The 21,326-nt window shown below is 46.0% G+C and overlaps 1 protein-coding gene across 10 annotated transcripts in view, besides 3 other annotated features; it reads left to right on the plus strand.

Moving 5' to 3' along the window:
- PSEN1 (presenilin 1) overlaps positions 1-9,304 on the plus strand; it is an 87,275-nt gene extending 77,971 nt beyond the window's left edge. For all 10 annotated transcript variants that reach the window (XM_047431602.1, XM_047431601.1, XM_047431600.1 and 7 more), the window contains exons 11-12: positions 2,739-2,857; positions 4,747-9,304. In XM_047431602.1, coding sequence (XP_047287558.1) covers positions 2,739-2,857; positions 4,747-4,902 — 275 coding nt within the window. In that variant the 3' untranslated portion in view covers positions 4,903-9,304. The remainder of the gene's footprint in view (positions 1-2,738; positions 2,858-4,746) is intronic.
- Positions 8,548-9,060: an enhancer, noted in NCBI's record as "NANOG hESC enhancer chr14:73689643-73690155 (GRCh37/hg19 assembly coordinates)". NCBI's record gives its function as "activates a minimal SCP1, AML or CMV promoter by ChIP-STARR-seq in primed H9 embryonic stem cells {active_cell/tissue: H9 hESC(primed)}" and the evidence as "EXISTENCE:reporter gene assay evidence [ECO:0000049][PMID:30033119]".
- Positions 12,674-13,569: an enhancer, noted in NCBI's record as "H3K27ac-H3K4me1 hESC enhancer chr14:73693769-73694664 (GRCh37/hg19 assembly coordinates)". NCBI's record gives its function as "activates a minimal SCP1, AML or CMV promoter by ChIP-STARR-seq in naive and primed H9 embryonic stem cells {active_cell/tissue: H9 hESC(naive and primed)}" and the evidence as "EXISTENCE:reporter gene assay evidence [ECO:0000049][PMID:30033119]".
- Positions 17,522-17,591: an enhancer, noted in NCBI's record as "active region_8695". NCBI's record gives its function as "activates an Ori minimal core promoter by ATAC-STARR-seq in GM12878 lymphoblastoid cells {active_cell/tissue: GM12878}" and the evidence as "EXISTENCE:reporter gene assay evidence [ECO:0000049][PMID:35858748]".

Here is a 21,326-nt window from a genome sequence, read left to right on the forward strand (position 1 = left end):
ATTGTGGTGGCACATGCCTGTAGTCCCAGCTACTCAGGAGGCTGAGGCAGGAGAATCACTTGAACCTGGGAGGTGGAGGTTGCAGTGAGCTGAGATCATACCATTGCACTCCAGCCTGGGCAACAAGAGCGAAACTCCATCTCAAAAAAAAAAAAAAAAAGACCAACTACCTTCACAATAAATAAAAATGTCTTACATTTCTAATTAAAATTTTTGTTCAGTTTTATTATTCAGCTTTAAAAAGGAAGGGAATTCTGACATGTTACAACATGAATAAATCTTGAGTACTTTGTGCTAAGTGAAATAAGCTAGTTACAAAAAGAAAAATACTGTATGATTCCACTTACATCAGAGTAGTCAGAAAGTAGACTGGTGGTTGCCAGGGGTTAAGGGGAGGGGAAATGAAGGGTCGTTTAATGGGTGTAGAGTTTCAGTTTTACAAGATGAAAAGAGTTCTGTGGATGGACGATGGTAATGGTAGCACAATGATACGATTATACCTAGTGTCTTTGAACGGTGAACTTAAAAAGGGTTAAGATGTTAAACTTGATGGGTATCTTACCACAGTTAAATTTTTATTATTTTTTTATTTTTTGAGACAATTTCGCTCGTTGCCTAGGGTGGAGTGCAGTGCTGGGATCTCAGCTCACTGCAACTCTGCCTCCCAGGTTCAAGCGATACTCCTGCCTCAGCCTCCCGAGTAGCTGGGACTACAGGCACACATCACCATACCCGGCTAATTTTTATATTTTTAGTAGAGACAAGGTTTCACCATGTTGGCCAGGCTGGTCTTGAACTCCTGACCTCAAGTGATCTGCCCACCTCAGCCTCCCAGAGTGCTGGGATTACAGGTGTGAGCCACTGTGCCCGGCCAAAAAAATTTTTTTTAAATACCGTTAAGAAGTGGAAAATAAGGCCAGGTGTGGTGGCTCACACCTGTAATCCCAGCACTTTGGGAGACCAAGGTTGGTGGATCACCTGAGGTTTGGAGTTTGAGACCAGCCTGGCCAACATGGTAAAACCTCATATCTACTAAAAATACAAAATTAGCCGGGCGTGGTGGCGCATGTCTGTAATCCCAGCTATTCGAGAGGCTGCGGCAGGATAATTGCTTGAAATCGGGAGGTGGAGGTTTCAGTGAGCCGAGATCACTTAAAAAAAAAAAGGAAAATAAGCTACCAGCTGAGAGAAAATATATGCAAATCATATTGAAGTCCTGTTAAAGGACTTGTATTTAGGATATATAAAGGATGCTTACAACTTAATACGAAGACGATAGCCCAAATTTAAGATAGGGAAATGCTTTGACTAGACATTCTACCAAAAGAGATATATAATGGCTAAAAAGCACATGAAAAGATGCTCAACATCATTAATCAGAGTGGCTAGAATGAAAAAGGCTAACAATACCAAGAGCTGGTGAGGATGTGAAAAAACTGGAACTCTCAATTGTTGCTGGTGGAAATTCAGACTGGTACAGCCAGTGTGGAATGTGATTTGGCAGTTTATTAAAAAGCTAAAAACCTAAACTTACATAGCCCAGCAATTGCACCCCCAGGAGTCTACCCAATGGAAATGAAAACAGTCCGTCCCCACAGAGACATGGACATAAATGTTCATAGCAGCATTATTCAGAATAGCCCCAAATTGAAAACAATCCAGATGTCCATCAACTGGTAAATGGATAAGCAAACCATATAATGGAAAACCATTCAGCTTCCAATAACTTCCAAGAAACTGTAGACACATGCAGTATCATGGTTAAACCTCAAAAACATTATATTAAGTAAAATAGGCGAGGCATGTATTGTATGAGTCATATGAAATGTCTAGAAAAGGCAAATTTATTGAGATAGAAAGCAGATCACTGGTTGCTTAAGGCCTAGGGTAGGAGTGGGGATTAACTGTAAACGGGTACAAGGTACCTGACTGGGGCAATGGACATGTGGATTGTGATGATAGTTAAATTGTACAGCTCTCTCTATATATAGTTGTACAGCTCTATTAATTTTCCACAATCATTGAATCATGTCTTCCAGTTTTATGAGGTAAATCATAGTCCAATGAAGCTTTTTTAAAAATAAGATGATAGGCCATGTGTGGTGGCTCACGTCTGTAATCCCAGCACTTTGGGAGGCCAAGGTGGGTGGATCATGAGGTCAGGAGTTCGAGACCAGCCTGACCAACATGGTGAAACCCTGTCTCCATCAAAAATAAAAAAATTAGCCAGGCATGGTGGCATGCGCCTGTAATCCCACCTACTCAGGAGGCTGAGACAGGAAAGTCGCTTGAACCTGGGCGGCAGAGTCTGCAGTGAGCCGAGATCATGCTGCTGTACTCCAGCCTGGGCCACAGAGCAAAACTCCATCTCAAAAAAAAAAAAAATATTAATTAATATGATAAAATGATGCCTATCTCAGAATTCTTGTAAGGATTTCTTAGTACAAGTGCTGGGTATAAACTATATATTCAATAGATGACGATTATTACTTATTATTGTTATTGATAAATAACAGCAGCATCTACAGTTAAGACTCCAGAGTCAGTCACATAGAATCTGGAACTCCTATTGTAGAAAACCAAAAAAGAAAGAAAACACAGCTGAAGCCTAATTTTGTATATCATTTACTGACTTCTCTCATTCATTGTGGGGTTGAGTAGGGCAGTGATATTTTTGAATTGTGAAATCATAGCAAAGAGTGACCAACTTTTTAATATTTGTAACCTTTCCTTTTTAGGGGGAGTAAAACTTGGATTGGGAGATTTCATTTTCTACAGTGTTCTGGTTGGTAAAGCCTCAGCAACAGCCAGTGGAGACTGGAACACAACCATAGCCTGTTTCGTAGCCATATTAATTGTAAGTATACACTAATAAGAATGTGTCAGAGCTCTTAATGTCAAAACTTTGATTACACAGTCCCTTTAAGGCAGTTCTGTTTTAACCCCAGGTGGGTTAAATATTCCAGCTATCTGAGGAGCTTTTTGATAATTGGACCTCACCTTAGTAGTTCTCTACCCTGGCCACACATTAGAATCACTTGGGAGCTTTTAAAACTGTAAGCTCTGCCCTGAGATATTCTTACTCAATTTAATTGTGTAGTTTTTAAAATTCCCCAGGAAATTCTGGTATTTCTGTTTAGGAACCGCTGCCTCAAGCCTAGCAGCACAGATATGTAGGAAATTAGCTCTGTAAGGTTGGTCTTACAGGGATAAACAGATCCTTCCTTAGTCCCTGGACTTAATCACTGAGAGTTTGGTGGTGGTTTTGCATTTAATGACACAACCTGTAGCATGCAGTGTTACTTAAGACAGCAAGCATCTAGTGAGAGGAGCTGGTGCCATGCATGACCCCACATAGATCTTGCTGATAGTGCTACAGCATGAACCCTGAAGCTTTCAAAACTATGATTTTTTTTTTTTTTTTTTTTGAGACGGAGTCTCTGTCACCCAGGCTGGAGTGGTGCAATCTCGGCTCATTGCAACCTCTGCCTCCCAGATTTAAGTGATTCTCTGCCTCAGCCTCCCGAGTAGCTGGGATTACAGGTGCCTGCCACCACGCCCGGCTAATTTTTGTATTTTTAGTAGAAACAGGGTTTCACCATGTTGGCCAGGCTCCTCTTGAACTCCTGACCTCAAGTGATGTGCCTGCCTCGGCCTCCCAAAGTGCTGGGATTACAGGCGTGAGCCACCGCACCTGGCTTTTTTTTTTTTTTTTTTTTTTGGAGACAGAGTCTTGCTCTGTCGCCCAAACTAGAGTGCAGTGACATTAGCTCACTGCAACTTCTGCCTCCTAGGTTCAAGCGATCCTCCTGTCTCAGCCTCCCAAGTAGCTGGAATTACATGTGTGCACCACCATGCCTGGCTAATTTTTGTATTTTTAGTGGAGATGAGGTTTTGCCACATTGCCCAGGCTGGTCTCAAACTTCTGACCTCAACTGATCTGCCTGCCTCAGCCGCATAAAGTGCTGGGATTACAGGCATGAGCCACTGTGCCCAACCTGAAAACTATGATTTAAGTAAACAACCCATAAAATATTTCTTGCTATTTTTACTAAAGATGTGTTATCTTGGCCGGGTGAAGACTTTCTAGTGTTTCCGTAACTAGGGTAAAAAATGAACTCTATTATATGGCTTGTACATGTGTTTACAAGAAAGCAGTGTACTCCTCATAAATAAACTTTTAGTTTATTTTATTTTTTAAACACTGCAGCCTCATCATGCTTCACGGAGGAGCCTGTGCGGGAAGAATGCTCCCACACAGCATAAAGAATGCTCCCGCACAGCATAGAGAATGCCCCCGCACAGCATAGAGAAGCCCCCGCACAGCATAGAGAATGCCCCCGCACAGCATAGAGAAGCCCCCGCACAGCATAGAGAATGCTCTTCACCTCTGGGTTTTTAACCAGCCAAACTAAAATCACAGAGGCCAACACATCATTTAAGATAGAAATTTCTGTATCTTTTAATTTTTTTCAAAGTAGTTTTACTTATTTTCAGATTCTATTTCTTTACTAGAATTAAGGGATAAAATAACAATGTGTGCATAATGAACCCTATGAAACAAACAAAAGCTAGGTTTTTTTCATAGCTCTTCTTCCAGATTGAATGAACGTCTGTTCTAAAATTTAACCCCAAAAGGAAAATATTCAGTTAACTATGTTAAAAACCAAGACTTGTGATTGAGTTTTGCCTGAAAATGCTTTCATAATTATGTGTGAATGTGTGTCTTTCCCATCTTCTCCACAGGGTTTGTGCCTTACATTATTACTCCTTGCCATTTTCAAGAAAGCATTGCCAGCTCTTCCAATCTCCATCACCTTTGGGCTTGTTTTCTACTTTGCCACAGATTATCTTGTACAGCCTTTTATGGACCAATTAGCATTCCATCAATTTTATATCTAGCATATTTGCGGTTAGAATCCCATGGATGTTTCTTCTTTGACTATAACAAAATCTGGGGAGGACAAAGGTGATTTTCCTGTGTCCACATCTAACAAAGTCAAGATTCCCGGCTGGACTTTTGCAGCTTCCTTCCAAGTCTTCCTGACCACCTTGCACTATTGGACTTTGGAAGGAGGTGCCTATAGAAAACGATTTTGAACATACTTCATCGCAGTGGACTGTGTCCCTCGGTGCAGAAACTACCAGATTTGAGGGACGAGGTCAAGGAGATATGATAGGCCCGGAAGTTGCTGTGCCCCATCAGCAGCTTGACGCGTGGTCACAGGACGATTTCACTGACACTGCGAACTCTCAGGACTACCGTTACCAAGAGGTTAGGTGAAGTGGTTTAAACCAAACGGAACTCTTCATCTTAAACTACACGTTGAAAATCAACCCAATAATTCTGTATTAACTGAATTCTGAACTTTTCAGGAGGTACTGTGAGGAAGAGCAGGCACCAGCAGCAGAATGGGGAATGGAGAGGTGGGCAGGGGTTCCAGCTTCCCTTTGATTTTTTGCTGCAGACTCATCCTTTTTAAATGAGACTTGTTTTCCCCTCTCTTTGAGTCAAGTCAAATATGTAGATTGCCTTTGGCAATTCTTCTTCTCAAGCACTGACACTCATTACCGTCTGTGATTGCCATTTCTTCCCAAGGCCAGTCTGAACCTGAGGTTGCTTTATCCTAAAAGTTTTAACCTCAGGTTCCAAATTCAGTAAATTTTGGAAACAGTACAGCTATTTCTCATCAATTCTCTATCATGTTGAAGTCAAATTTGGATTTTCCACCAAATTCTGAATTTGTAGACATACTTGTACGCTCACTTGCCCCAGATGCCTCCTCTGTCCTCATTCTTCTCTCCCACACAAGCAGTCTTTTTCTACAGCCAGTAAGGCAGCTCTGTCGTGGTAGCAGATGGTCCCATTATTCTAGGGTCTTACTCTTTGTATGATGAAAAGAATGTGTTATGAATCGGTGCTGTCAGCCCTGCTGTCAGACCTTCTTCCACAGCAAATGAGATGTATGCCCAAAGACGGTAGAATTAAAGAAGAGTAAAATGGCTGTTGAAGCACTTTCTGTCCTGGTATTTTGTTTTTGCTTTTGCCACACAGTAGCTCAGAATTTGAACAAATAGCCAAAAGCTGGTGGTTGATGAATTATGAACTAGTTGTATCAACACAAAGCAAGAGTTGGGGAAAGCCATATTTAACTTGGTGAGCTGTGGGAGAACCTGGTGGCAGAAGGAGAACCAACTGCCAAGGGGAAAGAGAAGGGGCCTCCAGCAGCGAAGGGGATACAGTGAGCTAATGATGTCAAGGAGGAGTTTCAGGTTATTCTCGTCAGCTCCACAAATGGGTGCTTTGTGGTCTCTGCCCGCGTTACCTTTCCTCTCAATGTACCTTTGTGTGAACTGGGCAGTGGAGGTGCCTGCTGCAGTTACCATGGAGTTCAGGCTCTGGGCAGCTCAGTCAGGCAAAACACACAAACAGCCATCAGCCTGTGTGGGCTCAGGGCACCTCTGGACAAAGGCTTGTGGGGCATAACCTTCTTTACCACAGAGAGCCCTTAGCTATGCTGATCAGACCGTAAGCGTTTATGAGAAACTTAGTTTCCTCCTGTGGCTGAGGAGGGGCCAGCTTTTTCTTCTTTTGCCTGCTGTTTTCTCTCCCAATCTATGATATGATATGACCTGGTTTGGGGCTGTCTTTGGTGTTTAGAATATTTGTTTTCTGTCCCAGGATATTTCTTATAAGAACCTAACTTCAAGAGTAGTGTGCGAGTACTGATCTGAATTTAAATTAAAATTGGCTTATATTAGGCAGTCACAGACAGGAAAAATAAGAGCTATGCAAAGAAAGGGGGATTTAAAGTAGTAGGTTCTATCATCTCAATTCATTTTTTTCCATGAAATCCCTTCTTCCAAGATTCATTCCCTCTCTCAGACATGTGCTAGCATGGGTATTATCATTGAGAAAGCACAGCTACAGCAAAGCCACCTGAATAGCAATTTGTGATTGGAAGCATTCTTGAGGGATCCCTAATCTAGAGTAATTTATTTGTGTAAGGATCCCAAATGTGTTGCACCTTTCATGATACATTTCTTCTCTGAAGAGGGTACGTGGGGTGTGTGTATTTAAATCCATCCTATGTATTACTGATTGTCCTGTGTAGAAAGATGGCAATTATTCTGTCTCTTTCTCCAAGTTTGAGCCACATCTCAGCCACATTGTTAGACAGTGTACAGAGAACCTATCTTTCCTTTTTTTTTTTTTAAAGGACAGGATTTTGCTGTGTTGCCCAGGCTAGACTTGAACTCCTGGGCTCAAGTAATCCACCTCAGCCTGAGTAGCTGAGACTACAGCCCATCTTATTTCTTTAAATCATTCATCTCAGGCAGAGAACTTTTCCCTCAAACATTCTTTTTAGAATTAGTTCAGTCATTCCTAAAACATCCAAATGCTAGTCTTCCACCATGAAAAATAGATTGTCACTGGAAAGAACAGTAGCAATTTCCATAAGGATGTGCCTTCACTCACACGGGACAGGCGGTGGTTATAGAGTCGGGCAAAACCAGCAGTAGAGTATGACCAGCCAAGCCAATCTGCTTAATAAAAAGATGGAAGACAGTAAGGAAGGAAAGTAGCCACTAAGAGTCTGAGTCTGACTGGGCTACAGAATAAAGGGTATTTATGGACAGAATGTCATTACATGCCTATGGGAATACCAATCATATTTGGAAGATTTGCAGATTTTTTTTCAGAGAGGAAAGACTCACCTTCCTGTTTTTGGTTCTCAGTAGGTTCGTGTGTGTTCCTAGAATCACAGCTCTGACTCCAAATGACTCAATTTCTCAATTAGAAAAAGTAGAAGCTTTCTAAGCAACTTGGAAGAAAACAGTCATAAGTAAGCAATTTGTTGATTTTACTACAGAAGCAACAACTGAAGAGGCAGTGTTTTTACTTTCAGACTCCGGGATTCCCATTCTGTAGTCTCTCTGCTTTTAAAAACCCTCCTTTTGCAATAGATGCCCAAACAGATGATGTTTATTACTTGTTATTTACGTGGCCTCAGACAGTGTATGTATTCTCGATATAACTTGTAGAGTGTGAAATATAAGTTTAACTACCAAATAAGGTCTCCCAGGGTTAGATGACTGCGGGAAGCCTTTGATCCCAACCCCCAAGGCTTTGTATATTTGATCATTTGTGATCTAACCCTGGAAGAAAAAGAGCTCAGAAACCACTATGAAAAAATTTGTTCAGTGTTTTCTGTGTTCCCGTAGGTTCTGGAGTCTGAGGATGCAAAGATGAATAAGATAAATTCTCAGAATGTAGTTATAATCTCTTGTTTTCTGGTATATGCCATCTTTCTTTAACTTCTCTAAAATATTGGGTATTTGTCAAATAACCACTTTTAACAGTTACCATTACTGAGGGCTTATACATTGGTGTTATAAAAGTGACTTGATTCAGAAATCAATCCATTCAGTAAAGTACTCCTTCTCTAAATTTGCTGTTATGTCTATAAGGAACAGTTTGACCTGCCCTTCTCCTCACCTCCTCACCTGCCTTCCAACATTGAATTTGGAAGGAGACGTGAAAATTGGACATTTGGTTTTGCCCTTGGGCTGGAAACTATCATATAATCATAAGTTTGAGCCTAGAAGTGATCCTTGTGATCTTCTCACCTCTTTAAATTCCCACAACACAAGAGATTAAAAACAGAGGTTTCAGCTCTTCATAGTGCGTTGTGAAATGGCTGGCCAGAGTGTACCAACAAAGCTGTCATCGGGCTCACAGCTCAGAGACATCTGCATGTGATCATCTGCATAGTCCTCTCCTCTAACGGGAAACACCTCAGATTTGCATATAAAAAAGCACCCTGGTGCTGAAATGAACCCCTTTCTTGAACATCAAAGCTGTCTCCCACAGCCTTGGGCAGCAGGGTGCCTCTTAGTGGATGTGCTGGGTCCACCCTGAGCCCTGACATGTGGTGGCAGCATTGCCAGTTGGTCTGTGTGTCTGTGTAGCAGGGACGATTTCCCAGAAAGCAATTTTCCTTTTGAAATACGTAATTGTTGAGACTAGGCAGTTTCAAAGTCAGCTGCATATAGTAGCAAGTACAGGACTGTCTTGTTTTTGGTGTCCTTGGAGGTGCTGGGGTGAGGGTTTCAGTGGGATCATTTACTCTCACATGTTGTCTGCCTTCTGCTTCTGTGGACACTGCTTTGTACTTAATTCAGACAGACTGTGAATACACCTTTTTTATAAATACCTTTCAAATTCTTGGTAAGATATAATTTTGATAGCTGATTGCAGATTTTCTGTATTTGTCAGATTAATAAAGACTGCATGAATCCAGCTGTGCTAGTGTTTTTTACATGAAAGTATCATAATGTATAACTGTAACTCACAGAACTGTCTAGCACTTATCAAGAAACAGTTTAGAATACAAAAATTAGCCAGGCGTGGTGGTGGGCGCCTGTAGTCCCAGCTACTCGGAAGGCTGAGGCATGAGAATCGCTTGAACCCAGGAGGCAGAGGTTGCAGTGAGCCGAGATCTCACCACTGCACTCCAGCCTGGGCGACAGAGCAAGACTCTGTCTCAAAAAAAAAAAAGTTTAGAAACAAATGCATTGTTTCTATTCTTAACTCATAAGAAAGTGGTATGGATTATAGCACACCACAGCTCTGAAGAGTGTAATATTAAATCTGTTTATAAAAGCCCCAAAGCAGCTATCCTTAATACATCCTGAAAGATATTTTTTCTAATAACTTTCACATTAATGTAAATATGTCAGAAGAAACTGTAAACTTATAAGACGTATGTTGTACAGTGCAGATATGTGCTGGAGGATTTTTTTTAAAGAAATTAGGTCACACTAATGGGAAAAGGCAACATTACTTTTATTGACCTGGTAGAGCATAGAATGTCCTCTCACTCCATTCCCCAAACTTGATAAAACGTTTTGTTTCTAAACAGTAAATAACATACAATCTGGAAATGATTGATCAGAAATACATTTATGGCAGAAAAACCACAGTTGGCCATGGTCTTCAGAAGGGGGCAGATAAGACATTGATGTGTTCCCGGCTACATCTGCTAAGGGCATCAGGAAGCAGGGAGTGTTTATTCCCTCCTTTGAGAATTGGAGGCATCATTTGTTTTCATGGCTCTTTTAGGCAGTGTCTGTGGAGTCTCCTACAGAGGCATCAGGACTTGGGAGAGGTTTCTGATTTTTAGGGGTCCTGACAATGGTGTTCTTGTTTTTTTTTTTTGAGACGGAGTCTCGCTCTGTTGCCCAGGCTGGAGTGCAGTGGCGCGATCTCAGCTCACTGCAAGCTCCGCCTCCTGGGTTCATGCCATTCTCCTGCCTCAGCCTCCTGAGTAGCTGGGACTACAGGCGCCCGCCACGCCCGGCTAATTTTTTTGTATTTTTAGTAGAGGCAGGGTTTCACCGTGTTAACCAGGATGGGACAATGGTGATCTTGATGAGAATGAGGACGGACTTTGAGCAGGGTTGAGAAGCAAGGGTAGTGAGGCTGGGTTTCCTGTGTCTCTAGGTAAGTCCCGTAGCTTTCCGTCAGCCCATGCCACACCTTCTTCCTGGGGACCCTTCTGTGTGCGGTGTGGAGAGTAGCTTAGGATCTGGTCAAAAGTGAAATGACAGCATACTTGAGTACGAGTGCAATGTTGACTTGTCAGTTGAATGAGAAAGAGTAAAGGAGAGATCCACAAAAGCAGGGGTTTAAAATCAGAAATTTCTCAGAAAGAAGGTTTGTTGTTGTTTTGGAGACAAGGTCTGGCTCTGTTGCCCAGGCTGGAGTGTAGTAGCGCGATCATGGCTCACTGCGTTGTTGAACTCCTGGGTTCAAAGGATCCACCTCAGCCTCCTGAGTAGCTGGAACTACAGGTGTACACCACCATGCCTGGCTAGTTATTTTTTATTTCGTGTAGAGACTGGGTCTTGCTTTGTTCTCCAGGCTGGTCTTGAACTCCTGGGCTCAAGTGATCCTCTCAGCTCAGCCTCCTGAAGTGCTGAGATTATAGGAGTGAGCCACTGCACCTAGCCAGAAATAAAGTTTTGAACTCAGTTTGGAAAGGGGGAAAAAGCCTGAATTGGCCAAGAAGGCAAAGGACATATACTGTACTAAAAATCAGGAAGACGGAAGTACCTGGGAGACACCTATGGATAATTGGTTTTTGAATAAAGGTGATGATTTATTCAGAGGAAAATCCAATTAGCTAACCAAATCTGTTTTCATATTTACTTAGAATATATCTCCTTCATCACATGACTTGTAGTGACCTAGAGGATGATGACCTAATCTACCACAGGGGTCTTTCAACATGTGGAGTGTCCCATGCTTGGAGAAGGTTGATGTGCTTGCATGGACTGTCCTGTGCCTGGTATGCCACGCCCTTCAAAGGGAGAGACGGGAAAAGCCTCGGGAACCAAATTTGTTCAAGTCCTAATTGTTGGCAGAAAGGGAGACATGCTCTTGCTGCCTCTGTTTCTTCTACTTTTTTTTTTTTTTTTTTTTTTTTGAGATGAAGTCTTTCTCTGTCGCCCAGGCTGGAGTGCTGCAATCTCGGCTCACTGTAGCCTCTGCCTCCCGGGTTCCAGCGATTCTCCTGCCTCAGCCCTCTGGGTAGCTGGGAGTACAGGCACATGCCAACACGCCCTGCTAATTTTTTTTTTTTTTTCATATTTTTAGTAGAGATGGGATTTCACCATGCTGGCCAGACTCGTCTCGAACTCCTGACCTCAGGTGATCCGCCCGCCTCGGCCTCCCAAAGTGCTGGGATTACAGGCATGAGCCACCGTGCCTGGCCTGCTTTTTTTTTTTTTTTTAAATTGCATAGGATTTGATATAGACTATACATAACCCAAGGTCAATTTCTCGTGCATAAGAGGAAAGGATTTTCTTACCCTTATGGAGTAAACCTATAGCATACCTCAAGGTGGACCTGTCGGTGAAAGTCTGATTGTGATTTGTTTTCTCGGTCGTAGACTAAACTCAAGGATAGAGTACACATATGATGTAAAGGGGAAGCAAGACTGGAGCTAAACATGATACTACATTTAAATACCTGAATTTAAGAGAGTGCTTTCAGGGCTAGTGCATCTCCATGCAGGGGTGGAGACATAGTGTTCTTCCAAATGCTCGATGAGAAACCGAAGAGAGAAATTTGGAACTTTGTCTGGCATTCAGGTTTTTAAAAATGTCCTATGACTTGTAATAACTGGTTTTTCTGTTTACTAATCAGATTTACCCACATATATCATAAAATAGTATTAAACTTATTTAGTGAGATAACTGAGTTTTAACTTATGTGGGCTAGATGTATGATTTATAAATTTATAATTTATAGTTTATAAATTTATACATGAATGTATGAGTTCTTCAGATTTTCTGAAATGTCGAAAATGGCTTCCATGCCTCCTCCTCCCTCAGGGGACATCTGCTCGGGAGGCCTTGTTTTGGTGTCTCCTAGCCGAGCTTTCCTTTCCCCCTTGCTCCCAGTTCAGGGATCTTCTCTATAATCACCCAGCTCCAAGGTCATCTAGTTTAAAATGTCACCAGGCTTGAGGACTGGAACATCCCAGCAGAAGGGGAAGGGCTTTTTATCTTGGGGAACCTGCACAGGCCCAAGCACAGTCTGAGGACACGGTGAGGGTGTTGGAGGCCATGCTCGGTTGCAAGGGTGTCTGCCTTCACTTTGGTTTATTTCATATCTGCCCCCTAGGCCAGGGCTGGGAGAGCTGAGCCAGTGCTTCACAGTTTGTTTGTTTGTTTGTTTATTTTTATTTTTATGTGTTTTTTTTGAGATGGAGTCTCGCTCTGTCGTCCAGGCTGGAGTGCAGTGGCGCAAACTCGGCTCACTGCAACCTCTGCCTCCTGGGCTCAAGTGATTCTCCTGCCTCAGCTCCTGAGTAGCTGAGATTACAGGCGCCCGCCACCACACCCAGCTAATTTTTGTAGTAGAGACGAGGTTTCGCCATGTTGGCCAGGCTGGTCTCAAACTCCTGACCTCAGGTGATCTGCTCGCCTTGGCTTCCGAAAGTGCTGGGATTACAGGCGTGAGCCACCGTGCCCAGCCAGTGTTTCACGTTTTGTAAATGTGCCTTCTCTGGCTCTCAGGTTACTTCTGTGGGCATCCAGAAATTAATTTCAGGATATTTTAGGCCCTTTGGCCTCTGTCAGACCTGAAAGTGAAGCCAGCCTGCCTGGGTTAATGTGCTGTTGACGGCACAGGCTGTTTGCACTGGCGATGTAGGGTGCTGCCCACTGAGCCAGGGTGCCCCATGTGTCAGATGGGCCCATGGCGATGGAGCCAGTGCAGCCCACTTGAGGGAGGAGACAGGGACCGGCTCCTCTGCCTGTCCACACACATGGCAGGTCATCTTTGAGGACTCTGTTTTCTCAATTGTCAAGGACCAGAATTCCCTCTTTCCCCTCTTGCACTATGGATAAAGGCATAGACATGTTATAAGTGATTATGCAGCTTTTGTCATTAAAGATATGTAATAACACGGTTCGCCAAGGTGCTCCAAGCATTTGGTAATTATTGCATGAATTGATTTTTGTTTTTAAATCAAAACATACTTTGGTAAACATTCCTGTGAAGGGAGGCCCATTCCAAGTCTCAGAGTTGGAGTGCCACCAAGACCCCGCCTGGAGCCCCGCTGCTCTGCCAGTCAACTGATGGGCTCCTTTACCCTCTCTCTTCCTGGCAGTGCTCCATAGCGGTGGGAAAGAGGGTGAGGCCTTGCCACTCCGCGGAGGGCCCCCTGGCCCACCCCAATGCTGAAGACAAATCTGACCCCATCTTCCCACTGGGAACTTGGCCAACCCAGATGTTCCCGCAGCCCCTCCCTCCGCTCCTCGCTCCCTGGATGGGGCCCACCTCCAGCGCATTTTTCTCACTCCAAGCTCCTTCCTTGCCAGATGGCTCTGCTGGAGGATTCTGCCCCGGGCTGGGAGGGGCTGGGGACCTGATTCTCTCATTTCCCTGTGGTTTGGCGAGTCTTCCCTCGCCCCTGTCGTTTTCAGAGCGAGCCCCGCCCTTGTCTGCAGACTCTGGCTGCCTGGACAGGCAAAGGGAAATGGATGGGTCACCCTGATGCCTCCGAGCCCGGTGACAGGAGCTAAGGATGGCAAATACAGACCGAGGGGCCACCTTGCCACTGCCTGACCCTCCAGGGAGCTTGGGCGCCGTCCCATTTCTTAAACTCCTGGCAGTTGCCCAATAAATGGTGAGTCAGTGAAGGACTGTAGGGGTGGCTGCGGGGTCTGCGGGAGGGGATTTCCATGCAGAATGATGTCAATAGGTCATGTGCATGGGAATTGTTGTGAGTAAGAACAAACATTAACCAGCTTTTGCCCCTGTTTACAAGGCTGTGCTGGAGAGTGTGGAGCCGAAGTCAACCAGCCTTATCCCTTCAGGAGACCTGAATTTATAAATGGTGGTCAGGATGAATACAAACAGGATTCCTCCCCCAGTTCACGTTTGTGACATCTGGAGAGATGTATGGGTTTGTCCTGGGTCATTGTCACCACATTGGATGCAGGGGGAATAAAGGATAGGGCGGTTGTTAATACATACCCCACATTTAACCAAGAAAAGCCACAGAGGAAGGTACTGCTTCATAAAACCAATGTCCCTTGAGCATGTCCCTTAATATGCCACAGACACTATGCCAAGCCCATCACAGGCATTGTCTCCTGTCCTCACCCCACCCTATGGGTAGGGCCTGTTAGCCCCATTTTACAGAGGAGGAGGAGCGCTCCCAGAGTCACTGCCCGCAGGTAAGTGGGAGAGGCTGTGCCTCCAGCACTGTCAAGGACGGGGGCACTGGACCCCATTTCTGATGAACCGAATCTTCGTCTGAGTGGGCCTTGGTAGCGCAGTCTCACAACCTTTCTCAACTTTCTCACTAAAGCTGCTCAAGCAACAGAGGACAGAGACACTGAGGGATGTGGACACAGTCCAAGGTGGCAGCCTTAGGTGGAGAGTTCTCTGGAGTTTTACCAAAACCAAAAGTTTTATTTCATAATATATGCTTTTTGTTGTCTTACTGGGTAAAATACAACATAAAATATACCATCCTAACCATTTTTGAGTGTGCATTTGGTGACATTAAGTTCCTTCACAGTGATGTGTAGCTATCACACGCCCATCTCCAGAGCTCCTTCCTCACCACAAAACAGCTCCCCGCCCCAGCCTCCAGCACCCCCATTCCAGCTCTGTCTCTGTGAATTTGACTACTCCAGGAACCTCACAAGGAGTGGAACGACCCACTATTCATTCTTCTGTGACTGGCTTATTTCACTTAGCGTGAAGTCCTTGAGGTTCATGCATGTTGTTGTAGACGTGTTTTAATGTTAAAAAAAAAAAAAAAACGGCTGGGCATGGTGGCTCACGCCTGTAATCCCAGCACTTTGGGAGGCCAAGGCGGGCAGATCACCTGAGGTCAGGAGTTCAAGACCAGCCTGGCCAACATGGCGAAACCCCATATCTACTAAAAGTACAAAAATTAGCTGGGCATGGTGGCAGGCACCTGTAATCCCAGCTACTCAGGAGGCTGAGGCAGGAGAATTGCTTGAACCCGGGAGGCGGAGGTTGCAGTGAGCCGAGATCGTGCCACCGCACTCCAGCCTGGGTGACAAGAGTGAGACTCCATCTCAAAAAAAAAAAAAAAAAACCATCACCAAAAATATATGACACCACCATACACACTCCTAAAGTTGATGTTCCCAGAAGCTGTGCCTTATTTATTCAGTCTTCCTGTGATGCTAAGGTCACAAGCTCTGGTGCGAGAGACACTGACCAGCCAGGCCTCAGCTCCCAACTCTGGCCGAGCAGGACAGCCCGTCACAGTCTGCCTTTCAGTGCCAATGCTGCCTGGAGGCCTGCGCTGGAGGCCCCAGTCGACACGGGTGTGTGCCACTCCCCTTCAGAGAGGATGCCACCTCCAGCTTTCTGCTGCCTCACTTTGTTCTCAGAGTTTGGGGTGGTGGATTCCTGGGAATTTTCAATTTTAGTATTTATTTTTTATTTACATCAATCTATTGTCTTTTAAAAATGAGAAAACTGCCATGCAGGAAGGTTGGCTTGCCTGAGATATTACAGCCAGGAGTGGTAGACCCAAGACTGCCCAGGCTTTGTGCCTCCCTACTTCCTGCCCCCAAGCTTGGACCACATTCATGGCACCACCAGGAGGTGATTCCAGTAGGCCACCCCGCCCACCACATCACACAAATGCTGCTCATCTGAATCCCATCTGCTCTGCGTTATATTGCGTTTAATGGGCAAAATTTACAAAGCTCTGAAAACTGAAAGGTTTCTTATCAATGTGTCCGTAATACCTGACTGAACTTTATGCCCTTTAGGAGGACATTTGTGTGTTTTGCCGCAGAGCTATGAGTGTGTATGTGCGGCGGTTTTGCTCGTTGATTTGTTTTGATTAAAAAGGGCTTCTGGCCGGGCGCGGTGGCTCACGCCTGTAATCCCAGCACTTTGGGAGGCTAAGGCAGGCGGATCACAAGATCAGGAGATCGAGACCATCCTGGCTAACATGGTGAAATCCCGTCTCTACTAGAAATACAAAATAATTAGCCAGGCGTGGTGGCATGCGCCTGCAGTCCCAGCTACTCGGGAGGCTGAGGCAGGAGAATCGCTTGAACCCAGGAGGTGGAGCTTGCAGTGAGCCGAGATCGCACCATTGCACTCCAGACTGGGCAACAGAGCAAAACTCCGTCTCAAAAAAATAAACATAAAAAGAGGGCTTCTGGCCAGGCACGGTGGCTCATGCCTATAATCCCAGCACTTTGGGAGGCCAAGGTGGGCAGATCACCTGAGGTCAGGAGTTGGAGACCAATCTGGCCAACATGGTGAAACCCCATCTCTACTAAAAATACAAAAATTAGCTGAGTGTGGTGGTGTGTGCTTGTAATCCCAGCTACTGGGGAGGCTGAGGCAAGAGAATCGCTTGAACCTAGGACGCGGAGGTTGCAGTGAGCCGAGATGGTGAAAAGAGGGCTTCCAGCCTGCTGGGAGTATTATATAATATGCAGTTTAGTCACTTCTAAAGCCTGGAAAATTCTCAATTCTGAAACACGTTTGGCCTCAAGAGTTTCTGATAAGGGATTGGGACCTAGATATATAGAATTAACAGTGATATGAAAGCTGTAAAAATAAAGAGCTTAGACCCCGTTTTGTGTCTGTACATCTTTCCGTGGCATTATACTATAAAGTAGGGGTCCAGGATAACAGGTCCCCACAGAAATGAGAGCTAGAGAAGCACTGCAGCAAAAAAAAAGAAAAGAAAAGAAAAGAAAAATTATTTCCTCTCCCTTCAGCTTCGGGGAAGTCTTGTTTTAGGATTGCGAGGCACTGGCCCACTGACTTCTGGGTTGTGTTTCCAGGTCTTTGGCCCGAGACACAGGCTGTCTCTCAATGTCTGGGCTGAGAACCATTCAGGTACAGAGGCTGAAGCCACAGGGTAGATGAGAAGTGTCCCAGGAGCATGGTGGAGGGTGAGACCAAGACAAAAGGATCTAAACAGCCTTGACTGCTGGCCTCTGGGGCTACCAATCCAGGGCCCCTGTCCGTGACAGCCCCCCAGGGACAGCACCAGGGACCTCAGAGCCTGGCTCACTGGATTCATCACAAGAGAACAGGGACTTGCTGCCTTCTGCAACCATCCGAGGGGCCACCAGGCGGCCACAGGACACCAGGCTTGCCTGGGAGTCTGGGGTGCCCACCTGGAGCTTCAAGGCCCAGAGACATGCTCCGGGCCTGTGCTCTTGAGCTGGTTCCACACCTTACACCGACCTTTGTGGGGTCTGGGCCAGGAGCTGCTCTCCCCTTTGGGAAGTGAGGGTGGGTTCCTCACAGCAGCTCCCTTAATGTCTCAACCAGCTTCTCCAAAGGAGGCCGTGGTTGGGGTCGCTGTGGTAGGAGTTTGTGTTCCCCTGTGGGCAGAGGGGATGAGATCTCTGCCGGCTGGAGCTGCTGGCTGGGAGCTAGTCAGAAACAGCATTGGAAAGCCCCTTCCTTTCCCACTGTCTCTGCTCTCCTTCCCCAGGCATTGTCCTGCCTCCACACAGCCTCTCCCGCATCCCGGTGCCCTTTCCGGGATCCGAGTCAGCGTGGGCCTGGTGTCACTGAGGGGACATCCCAGGAATTCCTGTTCTTTCCCTCTGGATGGCCTTCTTGTCTGCAGGAAGGGTGGGAGGAGCTATTATATATTTCTGTCTCAGCTTTAAGGGTAAAACTCCCCTCCAAAGGCCAGGTGGCTTATCTCCTGACAGCCACTTGTCAGACACACTGAGCCCTGAATTCCCACTCCAGTGGTCTGGCATGGTGCTTCAAAGAGCTGACTTGGATATGGCAACGCAATGGGGGAAGGAAGGTTGAGGTGGCGTCTGGAAGCACAGCACGGAGTGGAGTTTTGACCCTCGCCTTCCCGCCGTTCCCAGCGTTTGAATGACTGTATTAAGGGAAATGAATATATGTATTGGGGGGTGGGGAGACGTTAGAGAAATAAATGCAGCAGCCTCTGATGTGGAGTATCTTTTTTCCTTTTGGATTCCTAGTGGGCTGTGGCATCGGTTCTATGACTTTTATCGTAAAAATGTTTGAATACTCTGATTGTAAAACTCAGCTTAGTCTAAACTGACACACACAGCACTAGAATGCAAGTCCCCACTAGAGTGTAAACTCCCCGAGCAGACCTAGTGAGCTGGAGCCCACGCCTGGGAGAGCTGACTGCATCTCTTCCCAACTCCACGTCTGGTGACGTCACCTTGGTAGCTTGAAAACAGCCATGGTGGGAGCATCTACACCAAACGCCATGGGAAAGAATCCACCTGCACAGCAGTGCTGCCTCCTGCAGCAAGCTGAAGCTTAAACAGTTATCACCACTGGGCCGGTCTCTCCCAGCTTCTAGCGCAGCGTAGGCACTCAGATATTTGGATGAACAACCTCCAAATGAAGGAAGAGGGAAGCAGCATCCTCTAAATTCAGTTCAATGGGAGTTCAACAAATACCCTGTCCTGGTGGACATGTGTTTTCTGGGGCAGCTGCCATCTGAACTTCCACCTGGGGACCCTGCCAATTCTTGTTTCTCAGGTCCTGGCCATCAGGGTACAGGCATGTTCCTGTGGGGAGTGAGTCTACAAGGACGCTTCAGGGTTTTTCTAGGCATGTGTCAGCATTGCCTAAAATTGGTGGTGACACGAGTTCAGCGTCCAGCGGAAGAGCAGCATAGATCCTAACTGGAACTGCTCCTGGACTACAACTAGGACATTGTCGGGGGTCCAGCCCAAGCATGTGCCTGATTTTCAGCCCTCCTGTCAATCTGCGATCTCCCATTGCCTCTCTTCTAAGCAACTCTCCTGTTTAAGCTGACTCAGTCCTTTTCTGTGATGTGCAACCAAGAACCGCAAGGGTTGGTTCAGGCCCTCTGAGAGCAGAGGCTGAGACGGGACTAGATGTGCGAGAGATCTACAGGGGAGCGCCTGTGAAGATGAATTGCGGGGAGGAGGAGGTGCAGGGGGAGTCTTCAGAACCTGGTGTGGGGCTGAGTGCAGCCACTGGAAGCTGGTCACCAGTTACACTTCTCAAAGCCCCTCTCTTGAGGCAAACCTTCAGGGCCACCATGAACCTCTGGTCCAGGGTATAACATGAAAATGGATCTCTGCCCTTGCAATGTTCACAATTATGAGAGAGAAAGAGAAACAACTACATCACTGCAGTAGTTTGAAAGTGCTAGGGCAAAGCCCGGCACCGATGGGAGTGCAGAGCCAGATGTACAGGAAGGCTTCCTGGAGGAGGTGAATCCTGGGAGCCCCGAGGCTCTTGGCATTTTGCCCTCTCTCTTCTCTCCAGCCTTCCATCCCAACCCAACCACACAAAGAGATCTGGCCACTTCTTTCTTAGCCTCATCCTTAGATCTGCAATCTGTGGAGATATGAAAATGTAGAGAATTGAGGATACACATGGCGGGAGCACAGGACAGAAATTTAACAAAAATTTTTTTAGAGACAGGGTCTTGCTCTGCTGCCCGGGCTGGAGTGCAGTGGTGCAATCATAGCTCGCTGCAGCCTCGACATCCCAGGCTCAATTGATCCTCCTGCCTCAGCCTTCCAAGTAGCTTGGCCAGTGGTACCCGACCTTTTTGGCACCAGGGACCAGTTTTATGGAAGAGAATTTTTTCAGGTCTGGGAGCGGGGTGGGATGGTTTCGGGAAGAAACTGTTCCAGTCTAAAGCCTGATCCTGTTCAGATCATCAGGCATCAGAGTCTCCTAAGGAATGCACACCCTAGGTCCCTTGCATGAGTAGTTCACAACAGGGTTCATGCTCCCGTGGGAATCTAATGCTGCCACTGACCTGACAGGTGGCGGGGCTCAGGCAGTAATGCTTGCTCACCTCCTGCTGTGTGCCCGTTCCTAACAGGCCATGGACAGGTACCGGTCCGTGGCCTGGGGATTGAGGACCCCTATCTTGGACTGCAGGCAACTGCCACCATACCTGGCTAATTAAAAAAAAAATTGTAGAGATGGAGGGTCTCACTGTGTTGCCCTGGCTAGTTTTGAACTCCTAGACTTAAGCAATCCTCCCTCCTCAGCCTCTCAAAGTATTGGGACTCCAGGCATGAGCCACTGCGCCCAGATCAGAACTAACTTTTATTCTGCATCTAGTAGGAATTTTATGGAAACCAGTTACTTCCCTACTCTACCACCTGCTGTATGAGTCTCAAGTGAGCAAGTTGTGGCTTAAGGAGGTGACCCGACCTGCCCAAGTACACACACAGTGAGAAGCAGAGCAGCCTTCCAGTCCAGGTCTGCCTCCGCCCCAGGCTACCCCAAACCCCCAATGCGAGGGCGTCTCAGGTGCAGACACTGAGTGGCATAGAGCCAGCACAGAGGGGACTTGACAATAGGAAGGAAGGTCTTACACTTTTTCCTGGAATCTTCTTTCTAAACCACCCTATTTTAATGCATCAGTTCTGTTCACATCTCTGTGAGGTAAGCAGAGGAGAAATGAGGCTTAAAGAGAATATTCCTGCCCAAGCCAGTAATTGCTAGGGCCTGGCTGGTGGGTCTAAGACAGTCCCTTACCACTGAGTGTGGGTTCTGCCTCCCAACCTCAGAGTCCTCTTTGCAGCTGGCGTGAGGCATAAGAAATCACAGCCCTGGGTGTCTGAGAAGAAAGGATCATAGGAAAAGCAGGGACACAGCAGGAAAGTGAGCTCCTTGGGCCTCAGCTTCCCCCACCCTGCAGCGGGAGAAGCATTTTCCTCCCACTTAACAGAGGACCTTTGACCAAGCTCAGAAAAGTCCCAGCTGGTGGGGGCAGGGAGTGGGGCT

This window comes from Homo sapiens, chromosome 14 (assembly GCF_000001405.40).
Source record: "Homo sapiens chromosome 14, GRCh38.p14 Primary Assembly".
In the NCBI taxonomy this organism is placed as follows: Eukaryota; Metazoa; Chordata; class Mammalia; order Primates; family Hominidae; genus Homo; species Homo sapiens.